At 43.1% G+C, this 18368-nt stretch overlaps 1 long non-coding RNA gene across 4 annotated transcripts in view; it reads left to right on the forward strand.

The window, feature by feature from the left end:
• LOC101927556 (uncharacterized) overlaps positions 1-18368 on the forward strand; it is a 31541-nt gene that overhangs the window by 3499 nt on the left and 9674 nt on the right. For 2 of the 4 annotated variants that reach the window (NR_188515.1, NR_188513.1), the window contains exon 2: positions 5569-5668. This is a non-coding gene — a long non-coding RNA (uncharacterized LOC101927556). Of the gene's footprint in view, positions 1-5565; positions 5669-6034; positions 6128-18368 lie in introns of all 4 variants that reach the window. The other 2 variants (NR_188516.1, NR_188514.1) reach the window with 2 other exon arrangements.

Raw genomic sequence — 18368 nt, forward strand, 5'->3', positions numbered from 1 at the left:
AGCACACATTTTACAAAGAAAAAGAAAAAAAACCGGCCGGGCACAGTGTCTCATGCCTGCAATCCCAGCACTTTGGGAGGCCGAGGTGGGTGGATCATTTGAGGTCAGGAGTTCGAGACCAGCCTGGTCAACATGGTGAAACCCCACCTCTACTAAAAATACAAAAATTAGCCAGTTGTGGTGGTGGGCACCTGTAGTCCCAGCTTCTAGGGAGACTGAGGCAGGAGAATCACTTGAACCTGAGAAGTGGAGGTTGCAGTGAGCCGAGATCATGCCACTGCACTCCAGCCTGGGTGACAGAGCAAGACTCTGACTCAAAAAAAAAAAAAAAAAAAAAAAAAAAAGCCAGGCACAGGGCTCACTTGTAGTCCTAGCTACTGGGGAGGCTGAAGCAGGAGGATCCCATGAACCTAGGAGGTAGAGGCTGCAGTGCTGCTATAATGAAGATGGTGAATAGCTACTGCACTCTAGCCCATCTCTAATATTTATATATGTATAAAGATACAATAGACACATACTGAGCACATTCTTTAGCACTGTGGCTTTTAAGATCCATCCATTGTACCAGTGTGCATCTAATCCATTGCTTGTAACTGCTGCTCAGTTTTCCAGGTGTGCCCCAACCACATTTTATTTGTCCATGCCTGCAGTAATGGACATCCTTATACCTGTCCTCTTAAGGACCTATATGAGAATTTTCTTTCTCTCTTTCTCTCTCTCTCTCTCTCTCTTTCTTTTGACAGAGTTTCACTCTTGTTGCCCAGGCTGGAGTGCAAGGTGCAATGGCGCAATCTTGGCTCACTGCAACCTTCACCTCCTGGGTTCAAGTGATTATCCTGCTTCAGCCTCCAGAGTAGCTGGGATTACAGGCGTGTGCCACCGCGCCCAGCTAATTTTATATTTTTAGTAGAGACGGGGTTTCTCTATATTGATCAGACTCGAACTCCTGACCTCAGGTAATTCACCCATCTTGGCCTCCCAAAGCGCTGGGATTACAGGCGTGAGCCACCGCGCCTGGCCGAGAATTTCTTTTGCATACACATGCAGTAACAGAATTTCTAGGTATTCATCTATGCATATACAACGTGTAATGTGACTAAATGGCTCTCCAAAATAGTGTACCCATTTACACTCACATTAGCAATGCATGAGGATCTCTGCAGTCACATCCAACCACCAATAATGGATGTTATTTCACTTTCTGAACTTTGCCAGTCTGATAGGTATACAATGACAATTCATTTTATTTATCATTTGTCTGATTACTAACATGCTGGCTTATCTCCTCATAGGCATTTAAGTTTCTTTCTTTTATTTTTATTTTATTTGGAGACGGAGTCTTGCTCTATCATCCAGGCTGGAGTGCAATGGTGCAATCTCAGCTCACTGCAACCTCCGCCTCCCAGGTTCAAATGATTCTCCTGTCTCAGCCTCCTGAGTAGCTAAGATTACAGGTGCCCACCACCATGCTTGGCTAATTTTTGTACTTTTTATTTTTTTTGAGACCGAGTTGTGCTCTTGTTGCCCAGAGTGGAGTGCAGTGGCGTGATCTCGGCTTACCACAACTTCCAGCCTCCTGAGATTCTGCTGCCTCAGCCTCCCGAGTAGCTGGGATTACAGGCATGTGCCGCCAAGCCCGGCTAATTTTGTATTTTTAGTAGAGACGGGGTTTCTCCATGTTGGTCAGGCTGGTCTCAAACTCCCGACCTCAGGTGATCCACCCGCCTCGGCTTCCCAAAGTGCTGGGATTACAGGCATGAGCTACCGCGCCTGGCCAGTTTTTGTATTTTTTAGTAGCGATTGGGTTTCACCATATTGGCCAGACTGGTCTCGAACTCCTGACCTCAAGTGATCTGCCCGCCTCGGCCTCCCAAAGTGCTGGCATAACAGGCATTAGCCACAGCGCCCGCCCATTCTTTATTTTAAAATTGCCATTTGGTATCCTTTGCCCAAGTCTCTATTGAGGTACCTTTCTTTTCCTTACTGATTTGCAATAGAAAATAGTATGTCTAGGTATTAAGAATCCCTCGTTGGTTTTAGACACTGCAAACATCTTTTCCCAGTCTGTCAATTGTTAATTTCATTTGTCAATGTCTTCATTGAACAGAAGTCTTAATTTTTATTTAATTATTTCCTTTCTTTTTTGTGTTATGGTTTGTACTTAGAGGTTTAAAGAAGTTATTACCCACCCTTAGGTCACCTTTGCATATTAACTGCATAGATTTATATTACGTATTTATGTTTCAGTTCTTCCAAAGATAGTATTTGCATGTGGCATGTAGGAAATCAGTTTTATTTTTCTCCTTAGAGTAAGCCAGTTTCATTAATGTCATATGTAAACTATTTTTTCCTGAATGGCTTATGAAGCCACCTTTATTTTATATTAAGTTTCCATATATACAATGTATCTATTCCTGAACTCTCTTCTAGTCCACTGGTCTATTTAAAAGTTCTTACACCAATAAGACCCAGATTATTAGATTGTATTAGTATTGTTTTGTAGTGTGTCTTTTTTTTTTTTTTTTTTAAAAACAGAGTCTCACTCTGTCGCCCAGTCTGGAGTGCAATGGTGCGCTCTTGGCTCACTGCAACCTCTGTCTACCCGTCCCAAGTGATCCTCCCACCTCAGAGTCCTGAGTAGCTGGGACTACAGGTGCAGCCCACCACGCCCAGTTAATTTTTGTGATTTTTGGTAGAGATGGGGTTTTGCCATGTTGCCCAGGCTGGTCTCAAACTCCTGACCTTGGGTGATCCATCCACCTCAGCCTCCCAAAGTGCTGGGATTACAGGCGTGAGCCACCACATCTGGCCTATAGCGTGTCTTAATATCTGACAGGCGAATCTCTGTCTTTTTTCTCAAGTCTAATTTGGCTAATTTTCACAGACCTGATTCTTCCATTTAGATTTTACAGTAAGTTTGCTGACTTTCTCAAAAATATTTAACTAGTTTTGATTGTGATTGCATTGTAATTATAAATTAGTTTAGGAAGAATTAACATCTTTATAATATTGTCATCCCTACGAAAAAAATATGCACTATCTCTCCATTTCTTTTTTTTTTTTTTTGAGACGGAGTCTCACTCTGTCACCCAGGCTGGAGTGCAGTGGTGCGATCTCAGCACACTGCAACCTCTGCCTCCCAGTTCAAGCGATTCTCCTGCCTCGGCCTCCTGAGTAGCTGGGATTACAGGCACGTGCCACCATGCCCGGCTAATTTTTGTATTTTCAGTACAGACAGGTTTCACCATGTTGGTCAGGCTGGACTTGAACTCCTGACCTCATGATCTGCCCACCTCGGCCTCCCAAAGTTCTGGGATTACAGATGTGAGCCACTGTGTTCGGCCCTCTCTATTTCTTATTAAGGTCATCATCTGTCTTTATGCTTTAAAACTTACTCCATAGAGGTCTTATATTAAATTGTTTCTTAGATATTTTTACATCTACTTTTTATATCTTCTTATATCTATGTCTTCTTAGATATATTTTATACCTACTTTTTTAGATATAAATTTTTGTTGATATTTGGAATAATATCTTATTTTAAATTATATTTTCTAGTTGGTTATTGCTGGTGTTGAAAACTACCACAGATTTTTCAAAGTTAATCTTGTATCCAGGCATCTTGTTGAACTTTTAAATTATTAGTTTTAATAGTTTGTGATTTCTTGATTTTTCTATGTGGATGATCAGATCACTGCACAAAATAAAAGCTATATCCCTTTTCCTTTTTTTTTGAGATAGTCTCAGTCTGTCATCCAGGCTGCAGTGCACTGGTGTGATCTCAGCTCATTGCAACCTCCGCCTGCCAGGTTCAAGCAATTCTCCTGTCTCAGCCTCCTGAGTAGCTGGGACTACAAGTGTGCACCACCATGCCTGGCTAATTTTTGTATTTTTAGTAGAGACGGGGTTTCACCATCTTGGCCAGGCTGGTCTCCAACTGCTGACCTCAGGTGATCTGCCCTCCTTGGCCTCCCAAAGTGCTGCGATTACAGGCATGAGCAACCGCGCCTGGCCGCTATATCCTTTTTCTCTGAATGCTCATACCTCTTATTTGGTGTCCTTATTGCATTGGCCAGGATCCTCAGGACTATGTTAAACATTAGGGGTAATGGTTGGCATCTTTGCCTTATTCCTTCTAATGAAATGCTTCTAAGGTTTCCCCCACTAAATATGATGTTTCCTTTGGGTTTCTGGTATATAACCTTTAGTGAAAAGAAGGAATTATTTTCTACTTCTAGTTTGCAACAACAGAAATGTTTATCATGAATAGATATTGATTGTATTTGAGGTGTCAGCTAATTTAATTACAGAAGAAAAAGCAATTAGAGTCATAAGAATTGGAAAAGAAAAGGTAAAACTGTATTTGCAGACGATATAATTATATAACTGGAAAACTCAACAGAAAAAATAAGGAATTTCTATAAATAGATAATAAAGTATCAATATATAAAAATAATATACAGAAATCAATAGCTCTCATCTTTTTTTTTTTTTTTTTTTTTTTTGAGACAGAGTCTCACTGTGTCGCCCAGGCTGGAGTGCAGTGGCGCGATCTGTGCTCACTGCAAGCTCCGCCTCCCGGGTTCACGCCATTCTCCTGCCTCAGCCTCCCGAGTAGCTGGGACTACAGGCGCCTACCACCACACCTGGCTAATTTTTTTTTTTTGAATTTTAGTAGAGACGGGGTTTCACCATGTTAGCCAAGATGGTCTCGATCTCCTGACCTCATGATCCACCCGCCTTGGCCTCCCAAAGTGCTGGGATTACAGGCGTGAGCTACGCCAGGCCAGCTTTCATCTTACTAAGAATAAACAATAAGAAAAAATGGGGCAAGGGACTTGCTAATAAGGTATTGGGATAACTGAACAACCATATGGAAAAATATGTAATTGAATTCCTTTCTCATCCCTCATCATGTAATGAGCTTGTATCATTCTGAAACCATCAACCCCCACCCCTGTTGTCCCCAGTCCGTGGAAAACTGTCTTCCACGAAACAATTCCCTAGTGCCAAAAAGGTTGGGGACTGCTGCTCTAAAGCATGTCAATAAAAATTTTGAAAACTAAAGCACAAAGAAAAAAAATAAGAACAATGTGTGAGAGACATGTGCAAAATGTCTAACATATCTGTAGTTTGAGTTCCATGAGGAGAGAATAAGGCAGAAAAAAAAATTGAAGATACTGAGAATTTTCCAAAATTGATTACACATGTTAACTTACAGATTTGAGAAGCCCTCAAGCAGATTTGAAAAAGAGAGAGAGAGAAAGCAAGAGAGAGAACACCTAGGTATTGTCAAGCTGCTGAAAACCTAAGACAACCAAAAAAAACCTTATAAGCAGCTAAAGGGAAAAAACACATTAAATTCACAGGAACAAATAAAAAAAATTACAGCTTACTCTTCAACAGCAACAATGGAAACCAAAAAACAATGGAATAACATCTTTCAAATACCGAAAAACAAATTACAGCCCAGAATTTTATACTGAGACAAAAAGGTCTTCAAACATTTGATAGCTGAAGAAGATAAACACATTTTCACATAAATAAAAGTTAATTCATTTCCAGCAGATTCACACTACAAGGAATACTAAAGGACGTTCTCCACATTGAAGGAAAATGATCTAAAGAGAAACAGATCTGTAAGAAGAAATGAAGAGCACTGGTAAAGGTAAATGTAAAATTATTTAAGACTAAACTATATGTTTAAGTCAACAATAGTTGTGATAATTATAACATAATAAAAGTAAAATTACATAACAATGGCATAATGGGGGGCATGGAATTATATTGTTTGCTATAGTTTGGAAGTTTGTTCCCCTAAACCTCATGTTGAAATTTGATCCCCAATGTTGGAGGTGAGGCCTAATGGGAGGTACTATGATCATGGTTGCGGGATCCCTCATGAGTAAAGTAATGCCCTCTTGGGACTGGGGAGCTCTTATTAGTTCCTGTGAGAGCTGGTTGTTAGAAAGAGCATGGCACCTCCCTCCTCTTCTCTTGCTTCCTCTCACCATGTGATCTCTGCACATGCTAGCCTAGCTTCACCTTCTGCAATGTGTGGAAACAGACTGAGGTCCTCACCAGAAGCAAATGCTAGCACCATGCTTCTTGGAGACCCTGCAGAACTGTGAGTCAAATAAACCTTTTTCTTTATAAATTACCCAGCCTCAGATATTCCTTCACAGCAACACAAAAGGACTAAGACATTATTGTAAGGTTTTAGACATTTTACACATTGTATAAGATGTGGTGAAATACTAATTCAAAGCACAGACAGTCCCTGATTACAGTGGTTTGACTTACAGTTTTTCAACTTTACAATGTGTTCATTGGGATGATTAAATGCATTTTCAACTTAACAATATTTTCGGCTTACAATGGGCGTATCGGGACATAACCCCATCATAAGTTGAGGAACATCTGTAGATTATAATAAATTAAACATGCACATAGCGATCTAGAATAACTATTAAAAGAAAATGCAAACATAGGTATAACTAAAGAGATAAGAGAGAGACAAAATAGATTTAAAACACTTGATTAAACTAAAAGAAGGCAGGAAAGGAAGAAAGGAACAAAGAACAAATGGGATAAAACAGAACATACAGCAAGATAATAGACTTAAACTCAATTATGCCAGCAATTACATTAAGTGTAAATGAACTAAATATGCAGTTAAAATATCTAGATTGGCAGAGTGGATTAAAACAAAATAAGATTCAACTATATGTTTCTTTTTTTTTTGAAAAATAAACATACTTTAAATATAAGATACATAATAGTTGGAAGTAAAAGAATTCTAAAAAGATATATTATGCAGACACTACTCATAAGGAAGCTGGTGTGGCTGTATTATTAGTCAGCTAAGGTTACTTCAACACAGAAATATTACCATAGATAAACAGGGACATTTCATAATGACAAAACAGTCAATTATTTAAGAAGATACAATTATAAATGTGTATGTACCTAATAACACAACTTACAAGGAGAAATAGAAAACCTGAATTGTCCAAATGTACTAAAGAAATTAAATGCAAAATAAAAATCCTTCCCACAAAGAACCCTTCTGGTTCAGGTGGCTTTACTATTAAATTCTTCCACATATTTAAAGAAGAAATAATACTATCTTCACATTCTCTTATAGAAAATATTTCCCAATTTCTTTTTCTTCCTCCCTCCCTCCCTTCTTTCCTTCCTTCCTTCCCTCTTTCCTTCCTTCTCTCCCCCATCCGTCCTTCCCTCCTTCTTTCCTTCCTTCCTCCCTTCCTCCCTCCTTCCATCCCTTCCTCCCTTCCTCCCTTCCTTCCTTTTTAAATTGAGACAGGGTCTTGCCTTACCACCCAGACTAGAGTGCAGTGGCGTGATTATAACTCACTGCAGCCTCGACTTCCTGGGCTCAAGTGATCCTCCCACCTCAGCCTTCCTAGTAGCAAGGACTACAGGCACATGCCACCATGTCCAGCTAAATTTTTTTATTTTTTCTAGAGACAAGGTCTTGCTGTGTTTCCCAGCCTAGTCTCAAACTCCTGGACTCAGGCAATTCTTCCACCTCAGCCTCCCAAAGTGCTGAGATTACAGGCATAAGCCACCAGGCCTGGCCCCAATTTCTTCTACCAATCAGTATAACCCTGATACCAAAACTTAACAAAATAATCGCAAGAAAACAAAATTACAAGTCAATATTTCTCATGAACATAGATGCAAAAATTCCAAATAAGAGACTAGCAACCAAGTTCAGCAAAATATAAATAAAGGATAATATATCATGAACAAGTAGGAATTACTCTAGGAATGCAAGGTTGGCTTTACACATTAAAATAAATCAGTGTAATTTACCACATTAACAGAATAAAGGAGAAAAATAATATAATTACCTCAAGAGATGTAGGAAAAAAAGTTTAAATGTTCATCTATGACTTAAAATAATAAAAGAACTGGGTGTGGTGGCTTGTACCTGTAATCTTAGCTACTCAAGAGGCTGAGGCAGGAGAATCTCTTGAGCCCAGAAGTTTGAGGCCACAGTGAGCTATGATGGTGCCACTGCATTCCAGCCTGGGTGACAGAGCAAGGCATCATCTCTTAAAAAAAAAAGAAAAAACTTTCAGCAAACTCCTTCCTTCCTTCTTTCCCTCCATCCCCCTCTTCTTCCCTCCCTCCCTCCTTCCTTCCTTCCTTCCTTGCTATCTTGGATAGCAAGATCCAAGACAGGATCTTGCTATGTTGCTCAGACTAGAGTACAGTGGCTACTCCTAGATGCAATCATGCTGTACACTATAGCCTGAACTCCTGGTCTAAAGGGATCCTCCTGCCCCAGCCTCCAGAGTAGCTGGGACTACAGGTGTATGCCACCATACCCAGTTTCAGTTTCTTTCTTTCTTATTCTGAAGAAGGCTATTTACAAAACTATCTCAACTAGCATCACACTTAATGGTGAAATTGAGCACATTCCCCCTGGGGTTGGAAGCCGGATAGGGATGTTCACTCTAATCACTTCTATTCAACATTGTACTGGAGGTCATAGCCAGTGCAATAAGGTAAGAAAAAGAATTATGAGGTATAAAATTGGAAAGAAAAAAGTTAGAGTCGGCTGCGCACAGTAGCCTACGCCTGTAATCCCAGCACTTTGGGAAGCCAAGGCAGATGGATCACGAGGTCAGGAGATCAAGACCATCCTGGCTAACACAGTGAAACTATGTCTCTACTAAAAATACAAAAAAATAGCTGGGTGTGGTGGCAGGTGCCTGTAGTCCCAGCTACTCAGGAGGCTAAGGCAGGAGAATGGCATGAACCCAGGAGGTGGTGCTTGCAGTGAGCTGAGATCGTGCCACTGCACTCCAGCCTGGGTGACAGAGCAAGACCCCATCTCAAAAAAAAAAAAAAAGGAATGTTCATAGCAACAGCATTTATAATAGCTCCAAATTGGAAACATCCCAAATGTCCATCAACATTGGAATGGATAAATTTTCATATATTTATTCAATGAAATTATATATAACAATGAAAATAATAAATATTCTCCCCACAATAACTTTGCCGAATATGTGCTGCTATTGGTGGTACTGCCACTTGTTTGTGCCTTCCAAATCCTGATTAATTCTATTGTGTTTGAGTCCCATTTTAAAAGAGGGAAAAGAAAAGTCCATTTTTTTTCCCTCCTGGACTCAAGCGATCCTCCCACCTCAGCCTCCCCAGTAGATGGGGCTACAGGTGCACACACCACATCTAGCTAATTTTTGTATTTTTTGTAGATAGAGAGTTTTGCTATGTTGCCTGGGCTGGTCTGGAATTCCTGGGCTCAAGCAATCCACCTGCCTTGGCCTCCCAAAGTGCTGGGATTACAGGCGTGAGTCACCACGCCCAGCTATCACTATATACTCTGTACTACTGCCTTTATTTCTGATGGGAGGGAAGTTCCATTTTGACTCAGCTTTTAAAAAAATACCCTATGAAGAGATTCACCAGCTCAGCTTTGTTGAGACCCAAATCCTCTGCTTACCTTTACAAATTTTACAAAACCATGTGGACCACTTGAATAAATCACTAAGTCACCTCCCAAGTGCTTGGAAGGGGCCCAGCAAGTGAGGGTCCCTGAAGTTTGAGTTTCTTCTGGATGAATATGTCTCTGCTTCCCTCATATCATTCCCTTACTGATACTCTATTCAGCCAGGTTGGTCTTTGCCATTTCCCATAAATAAGCACTTTCCCACCTTATTTCCTGCCCATACCATTCCCTCCTCCATCTTGTCTGCTTATTCCCAGAAGGCATGGCTTTCCCTTCAACTCTCTTAAAGTGAGGTAGGCGGCAGGGTGAGGTGGCTCACGCCTGTAATCCCAGAACTTTGGGAGGCTGAGGCAGGCGGATCACCTGAGGTCAGGAGTTCAAGACCAGCCTGACCAACATGGAGAAACCCCATCTCGACTAAAAATACAAAATTAGCTGGGCATGGTGGCACATGCCTGTAATCCTAGCTACTCAGGAGGCGGAGGTTGCAGCGAGCTGAAATTGTGCCATTGCACTCCAGCCTGGGTAACAGGAGCAAAACTCCATCTCAAAAAAAAAAAAAGTGAGGTAGGCTCTCCTTTGTACCCCTCAACCACTGGGTCTAGTGGTGGGATGTAGGTCCTCCTTTTTCTTCATATCTCCTCCCAGACCATTGCCTCTCTCTCATTCCAAAAACCCCCAGCTCCTTTGAAACTCATACCATCAGCCTCTGCTACCCACTACCCCTCCCTCATTGCAGCCATCTCAGATCCCTGGGTCATCTCTTGAATATTTAATGCCTGGCCCATTGTCTGTCTCCATGGCTCTCATGAATAACTATTTCTGATTATGTGTGCAACAGCTTCATTGAGATGTAATTTACTTACTAGAAAACTCACCCATTTTAAGTGCAAAATGATTTTTCTTGTATTTACTGAATTCTGCAAACACCATCACAAATTTTCCATAACTTTCATCCTTGAAAAAGAGTCTCTCATCTAGCTTCTGTCTGTATAGATTTGCCTTTTCTGAATATTTTATCTAAATAGAATTGTACAAAATGTGGTCTTTTGTGCCTGCCTTCTTTCACTTAGCATAATGTTTGGAAGGTTCATCCACACTGCAGCAATCAGGACTCTGTTATTTTTGTTGTTAAAGGGCATTCCATTGTATGAATGTACCACATTTTTGTTTATCCATTCATCAGTTGACAAACATATGGCTCATTTCTACTTTTTGACTGTAAAGAATGAGGCTCTTATGAGGCTGGGCGTGGTGGCTCATGCCTGTAATCCCAGCACTTTGGGAGGCTGAGGCAGGTGGATCACCTGAGGCCAGGAGTTCGAGACCAGCCTGGCCAACATGGTGAAACCCTGTTTCTACTAAAAATACAAAAATTAGCCGGGCATGGTGACGTGTGCCTGTAATCCCAACTACTTGGGAGGCTGAGGCAGGAGAATCACTTGAATTCGGGAGGCAGAGGTTGCAGTGAGCTGAGATCGTGCCACTGCACTCCAGCCTGGGTGACAAGAGCAAAACTCTGTCTCAATAAATAAATAAATAAATAAATAAATAAGGCTGCTATGAACATTCACATATAAGTCTTTATGATGACATATGATATACCTAAGAGTGAAATTACTGGGTCCTATGGCAATTCTATGTTTAACATTTTGAGAAACTACCAAATTGTTTTCCAAAGTGACTGCATCATTTTCCAGTTCCACTAGCAATGTATGACAGTTACAATTTCTCCACATCATCACCAGCTCCAATCATTGTTTTCGATGATCCAGGACTTCACTCCACCCCAGCTATCTGCTCCTGTGGAAAGACCTCTCTCTCAAGCATCCCACTCCACTACCTCCTCCTATTATTATTCAGGCTGCCTTCTTCTCATGTTCTGAGTCCTTGAGTCCTCAAGTTATGTAACATCATTGGGACTTTGAACATACTACTCTCTTATGTTGGATGCTCCCTCACTTCTGTCACATCCTCACTTTCCTTTGTCCTGGCTTAGATTTCACAGCCCATTTATTAACTCATTGGTTTGAGTACATCCTCCACAACATTTTCACCCTCTCCTCCTGGTATGCACATGGATTCATGTAGCAAAACCCAAGCCAGGTTAAATGTGGTTGGGTCTAGTCTGTTTATCCCCAGGCAGTTAGATGTGGCTGGAGAAAGGTTCACAGCCATGAGGACTCATCTTGCATCAAATTCATAACCATGGACCTCCAGTGGACACTTAGTGCAGCTCAGCAATTCTCTGACATTTCCTGGGCACTTGCTCTTCTGTATTAGTCTGTTCTCATGCTGCTGATAAACACATACCTGAGACTGGGTAATGTATAAAGAAAAAGAGGTTTAATGGACTTACAGTTCCACATGGCTGAGGAGGCCTCACAATCATGGTGGAAGGTGAAAAGCACGTTTTACGTGGCGGCAGACAAGAGAGAAATGAGAGCCAAGCAAAAGGGTTTCCCCTTATAAAACCATCAGATCTTGTGAGACTTATTCACTACCATGAGAATAGTATGGGGGAAACCACCCCCCATGATTCAATTATCTCCCACCGGGTCCCTCCTACAACACATGGGCATTATGGGAGCTACAATTCAAGATGAGATTTGGGTGGGGACACAACCAAACCATAACACTCTCTTTTATCACCTTCCCCTCTTCTCCTCAACTTTCAACATTTCCAAACCCAGTGCCTTTTGGATAAATACCATCTTCCTCCTCCTCCTCTTCTTCTTCTTCTCCTTCCCCATCACCATTATCTATTTTCAAACCTTTTTAATTATTTCAAACAGGAACTCTGTGCCCATTAAGGAAGTATAACCTTGCCTCTATTTCACTGAGAAAACTGAAGCAATCAGAACAGGGCTTCCATAGGTCCCTTCTATGAAACACACAACCCGGATGTGTACACGTCCAGGTATTGTGCTTTCCCTCCCATTACACAGGAGAACCACCTGTGCTATTTAAGGCCAGCTCTTGTACCTGGGCACCAGGTCCCAAAGCCACTGACTCATCACAGATGTTATTCCTGCAACAATGCCCTCATGCTCCCACACCATCAATTTTCCCTCTGCAGAGGATCATTTCCATAAGTCTATGAACAGCTGTAATATTCCCATCTAAAAATAAATCCCTTCCCTTGGCGCTACCTCTTTCCCCCTATAGCTCAATTTCTCTGCTGCCTTTTATAGCAAAGCTTCTCAAGAGTTGTCTTATAGTCCCCACTTCTTTTTCTCCTGTCCCTACCTCAATCCATTTCAATCCCACTTCTGCCACACCACTCTGCAAGCTCACTCCTTATGCTCACAAGTGACCACCATGTTGGCAAATCCAGTGGCCAATTCTCACACTTCATATGACTTGATTTTTCAGCAACCAGTCATTGCTTCCATCTTCTTGAACTACATTTTTTCCCTGACTTCCAGGCATCATACTCTTCTGGTTTCCCCCTTTTTTCTTTTCTTTTCTTTTTTTTTTTTTTGGATGGAGTCTCGCTCTGTTGCCCAGGCTGGAGTGCAATGGTGTGATCTCGGCTCATTGCAACCTCTGCCTCCCGGGTTCAAGTGATTCTCCTGCCTCAGCCTCCTGAGTAGCTTGGATTACAGGTGCCCACCACCACACCTGGCTAATTTTTGTATATATTTTTTTTGAGACAGAGTCTCGCTCTGTCGCCCAGGTTGGAGTGCAGTGGCGCGATCTCGCTCACTGCAAGCTCTGCCTCCCAGGTTCATGCCATTCTCCTGCCTCAGCCTCCCAAGTAGCTGGGACTACAGGTGCCCACCACCACGCCCGGCTAATTTTTTGTATTTTTAGTAGAGATGGGGTTTCACCGTGTTAGCCAGGATGGTCTCGATCTCCTGACCTCGTGATCCACCTGCCTCGGCCTCCCAAAGTGCTAGGATTACAGGCATGAGCCACCGTGCCCGGCCTCCCCCTTTTTTCTTTTCACCAGTCATTCCTTCTTTGTCTTCTTTGCTAGTCCATCTTCATTTCCTCCATGTCTAAGCTTCACAGGGCTCCAGGTGCTGTCTGCAAACTCCACTCTTCCCAAAAATCCACTCCCTCCAATATCAGCTAGTCTCATGGCTTTAATAGCTCCCTATATATAAGCTGATTCTTTCCACCCCTATTCCCAAAGTCTATCTTCACTCCCACTGCCCCATTGGGCTCCATTTGCATATATCCAACCAGCTATTTGACTTCTCCCCTGGGAGGTATCGTGGGCATTTGGATCTTAACATGGCCCAAACAGAGCTTTACATTTCTCCACCCTCTCCCCTCACACACATCCCACATGCAGCCCTTACCCAAGCCTGCTCCACCCCAAGTCTTGCCCATTTTGGTAAGTGACAGCTTGATTCCTTGCTCAGACCCAACACCTTGGAGTCAGTTCGAGCTCCACTTTTTCTCACAGCCCACATCAGCAAATCCTGTAGCTCTACCTTCAAAATATCTCCCCAATCTAATCACATCCCTACCTTTATGGGTACTGCCCTGGTCCAAACATCAACCCCTGATATGGTTTCAATGTTTGTACCGTCCACATCTCATGTTGAAATGTGATCTTCAGTGTTGGAGGTGGGGCCTGGTGGGAGGTATTTGGGTCAGGGGGCAGATCCCTCACTCATGAATAGCTTGGTGCTGTCCTTGTGATAGTAAGTTCTTGGTCTGAGTTCACGTAAGATCTGGTTGTTTAAAAGTGTGTGGCACTGGCTGGGCGCAGTGGCTGACATTTGTAATCCTGGCACTTTGGGAGGCTGAGGTGAGCAGATCACTTGAGGCCAGAAGTTCAAGACCAGCCTGGCCAACATGGTGAAACCCATCTCTACTAAAAATGTCAAAAATTAGATGGGCGTGGTGGTGTGTGCCTGTAGTCCCAACTACTTGGGAAGCTGAGGTACAAGAATCACTTGAACCCAGGATGTGGAGGTTGCAGTGAGCTGAGATCATACCACTGCACTCCAGCCTGGGCAACAGAGTGAGACCCTTTCTCAAAAAAAAAAAAAAAAAAAAAAAAGTGTGTGACTTTCCCCCTCACTCTCTTGCTCCCTCTCCTGCCATGTGGCGCACCTGCTTCCCTTTGCCTTGTGCCATGATTGTAAGGTTCCTGAGGCCTCACCAGAAGCATATGCTGGAGCCATGCTGGTACAGCCTGCAGAACTGTGAGCCAATTAAAGCTCCATTCCGTATAAATTAACCAGCCTCAGGCATTTCTTTATAGCAACGCAAGAAGGGCTAATGCAGCCTCTCTCTCCTGTACGCCTGAGACAGCCTCCTCCTGATTGCTTACAACTACTCTTGCCATCCTGTAGTCCACTCTCCACATGGCAGCCAGAAGGATCCTCTTAGTGGCTCTTTGCTCTAATAGCTACTCATTTTGCTAAGAATAAAACTAAGGCTCACACCTATAATCCCAGCACTTTGGGAGGCCAAGGTGAGCAGATTGCTGGAGCCCAGGAGTTTGAGACCAGCCTGGGCAACATGGGAAGACTCCGTCTCTACAAAAAAATGCAAAAGTTAGCTAGGCATGGTGGTGCACACCTGTAATCCCAGCTACTCAGGAGGCTGAGGCACGAGAGTCACTTGAACCAAGGAGGCAGAGGTTGCAGTGAGTCAAGATTGTGTCACTGCACTCCAGCCTGGGTGACAGAGTGAGAAATATATATATTTAAAAAGTGTGTATATAAAATATAAAAAATATTTTTTAAAAGTATATAAATATAAAAAATATATGTGTGTGTATATATACATAAATACACACACACACACCCCCACATATATACACACATTAAAAAAAAAATCCTTACTCTGGTCTCCTCCATCTTGTTCCCTGAAACCACTTTGGCCTTCTCTCCTACATCCTTCTCCTCACACCCTCCTCCCTCAGTGCTGCCTGCACCCTGCATCCCTCTCTCACCGGCTTCCCTCTGCCTCTGTCCCTGCCCTGGCTGGTCCTGCTCTACTGGCTCACTCTTTTCCTCACTCGGAGCTCCACTCAGGCGCTGTCTGTATTAGCTACCTAGAGATGCCACGACAAATGACCACAACCTTGGTATGGTGGCAATTGAACAAAATAAAATTAAAGTAAAATTAATTCAAAATAAAATTTAAATGTAAAATAACAGCAATGTAATCTCTCACAGTGCAGAAAGCTAAGAAGTCCAAAATCAAGGTGTTGACTGGGCCATGCTCCCTCTGAAGGCTCTGGGGCAGGGTCCTTCCTTGCTTCTTCCTGGCTTCTGGTGGCCCCCAGGCATTCCAATCTGGTTGGCTTGTGGCAGTGTCTTTCCAATTTCTGCCTCCATCTCCATGTGGCCACCTTTTCTCTGTGTCCTCTCCTCTCGTTATAAGGATACTCTCAGCATTGGATTTAGGGTACACCCTAAATCCAGCATGACATCATCTTGAGATCTTTGACTAATTACATCTGCAAAAACCTTCTTTCCAAATAAGGTCACATTCTGAGGCTCTGGGTGGACATGAATTTTGGGGGGATATTACTCAGCCCACAATACTGCTTTACTGGAGAGGATGTCTTTGACAACCCAGTCTTAAAAACAGCACCCCCTCCACACCCTACCGACACTTGTCTTCCCACTGCTCTGCCTGATTCTTTTTCATTGCACTCATTACCACTTGACAGTCTAAATAGTTATTTGCTTATTATCTGTCTTGCCCATCACTCAGTTCTGAGCTTCTGGGAGGAAGAATTTGGTCTGTCTGGCTTATAGATGTATTCCCAGTACTCAAGCCTAGTGCTTGCACTTTTAAGTGGGTATGCAGTATGTGTTGAATCAGTGAATCAGAATCACAGGCTTGGGGCTCCTGGCCACTGAAGGCACAGCACAGGCTCTGTGTCTCCTGGTCTCTGCAGCTCCAGACCCACCCAGTCCGTAGAGACCCTCCTCAGCTTGGAATCCAGGCTCACTGAGCCCATTTGCCTGCCCACAAAAACTCTGTGGTCTCTTACTGCATTGTGTTGTTCTTGTAACTTTCTCTCAGTAACTATGCATTTTCCCCAATTAAAATGAAAACACAGCTGGGCACAGTGGCTCACACCTGTAATCCCAGCACTTTGGGAAGCCAAAACGGGAGGATTGCTTGAGCCCAGGGCTTCGAGACTAGCCTAGTCAATATAATGAGACCTTGTATCTACAAAAAAATAAAAATTAGCCTGGCATGGTGATGCACGCCTCCTGTAGTCCCAGCTAGTCGGGAGACTAAGGTGGGAAGATCACCTGAGCCTGGGAGGCGGAGGCTGTAGTGAACTGAGACCTTGCCACTGCACTCCAGCCTGGGTGACAGAGTGAGACTCTGTCTCAAAAAAGAAAAAAAGAGCCTGGGCGCAGTGGCTCATGCCTGCAATCCCAGCACTTTGGGAGGCCGAGGTGGGTGGATCACAAGGTCAGGAGTTCGAGACCAGCCTGGCCAAGATGGTGGAACTCTGTCTTTACTCAAAATACAAAAATCAGCTGGGTGCGGTGGCAGGCGCCTGTAGTCCCAGCTACTCAGGAGGCTGAGGGAGGAGAATTGCTTGAACCCAGGAGGCAGAGTTGCAGTGAGCCAAGATCGTGCTGCTGCACTCTAGCCTGGGCAACAGAGCAAGACTCCATCACAAAAAAAAAAAAAAAAGAAAGAAAGAAACAAACGAACAAACAATAGCCAACAGCACAAACATCTCAATTGGTTCGGCTTACACAATTTTGAAAAATTAAGAAATTTTGAAAAATAAAGTTAAGCAAACTTTCCATTTGATGGGTGCTAAAACTGCTTTGCCCAGATCAACTATAGAGAAGAACAGAACTTTCAATGGCAATTTTAAATAAGTGGGATCAAGAATCTGAAGCATTTCTTCAAAAAAAACTGTAACAGGAGATGACACATGGGTTCACCAGTACGATCCTGAAGACAAGCACAAAGCAGTGGCTACCGAGAGGCGGAAGTGGTCTGGCCAAAGAAAAAGTAGACCAGTCGAAGGTCATGGCAACAGTTTTTTGGGATGCTCAAAGCATTTTGCTGTCAACTTTCTGGAGGGCCAAAGAATGATAACATTTGCTTCCTATGAGAGTGTTTTCAGTAGGTTACCCAGAGCTTTAGGAGAAAAATGCCTGGGAAAGCTTCACTAGAGACTCCTTCTCCACCACAATGCTCCTGCTCACTCCTCATGAAAAACGAGGGCAATTTTGCAGAGTTTCAACAAGAAATCATTAGGCATCCATCTTACAGTCCTGATTTAGCTCCTTCTGACTTCTTTTTGTTTCCTAATCTGACAAATTCTTTAAAGGGCACCCATTTTTCTTCAGTTAATAATGAGGCTGGGCATGGTGGCTCATGCCTGTAATCCCAGCATTTTGGGAGGCCAAGGTGGGTGGATCATCTAAGGTCAGGAGTTCAAGACCAGCCTGGCCAACATGGCGAAACCCTGTCTCTACTAAAAATACAAAAAATTAGCCGGGCGTGGTGGCACGCGTCTGTAATCCCAGCGCTTGAGAGGCTGAGGCAGGAGAATCGCTTGAACTCGGGTGGCAGAGGTTGCAGTGAGCCAAAATCATGCCAGCGCACTCCAGCCTGGGCAACAGAGGGAGACTCCGTCTCTAAATAAATAAATAAATAAATAAATCAAGGAAGCAAGACTACATTGGCATGGTTAAATTCTCAGGACCCTGAGTTTGTTTGTTTTTTGTTTTTTTTGAGACGGAGTCTCACTGTGTCGCCCAAGCTGGAGTGCAGTGGTGCAATCTCAGCTCACTGCAACCTCCGCCCCCCAGATTCAATACTGCAACCTCCACCCACCAGGTTCAAGTGATTCTCCTGCCTCAGCCTCCTGAGTAGCTGGGATTACAGGCACGTGCCACCACAC

The sequence above is a fragment of the Homo sapiens genome, chromosome 16 (assembly GCF_000001405.40).
Source record: "Homo sapiens chromosome 16, GRCh38.p14 Primary Assembly".
Classification (NCBI taxonomy): Eukaryota; Metazoa; Chordata; class Mammalia; order Primates; family Hominidae; genus Homo; species Homo sapiens.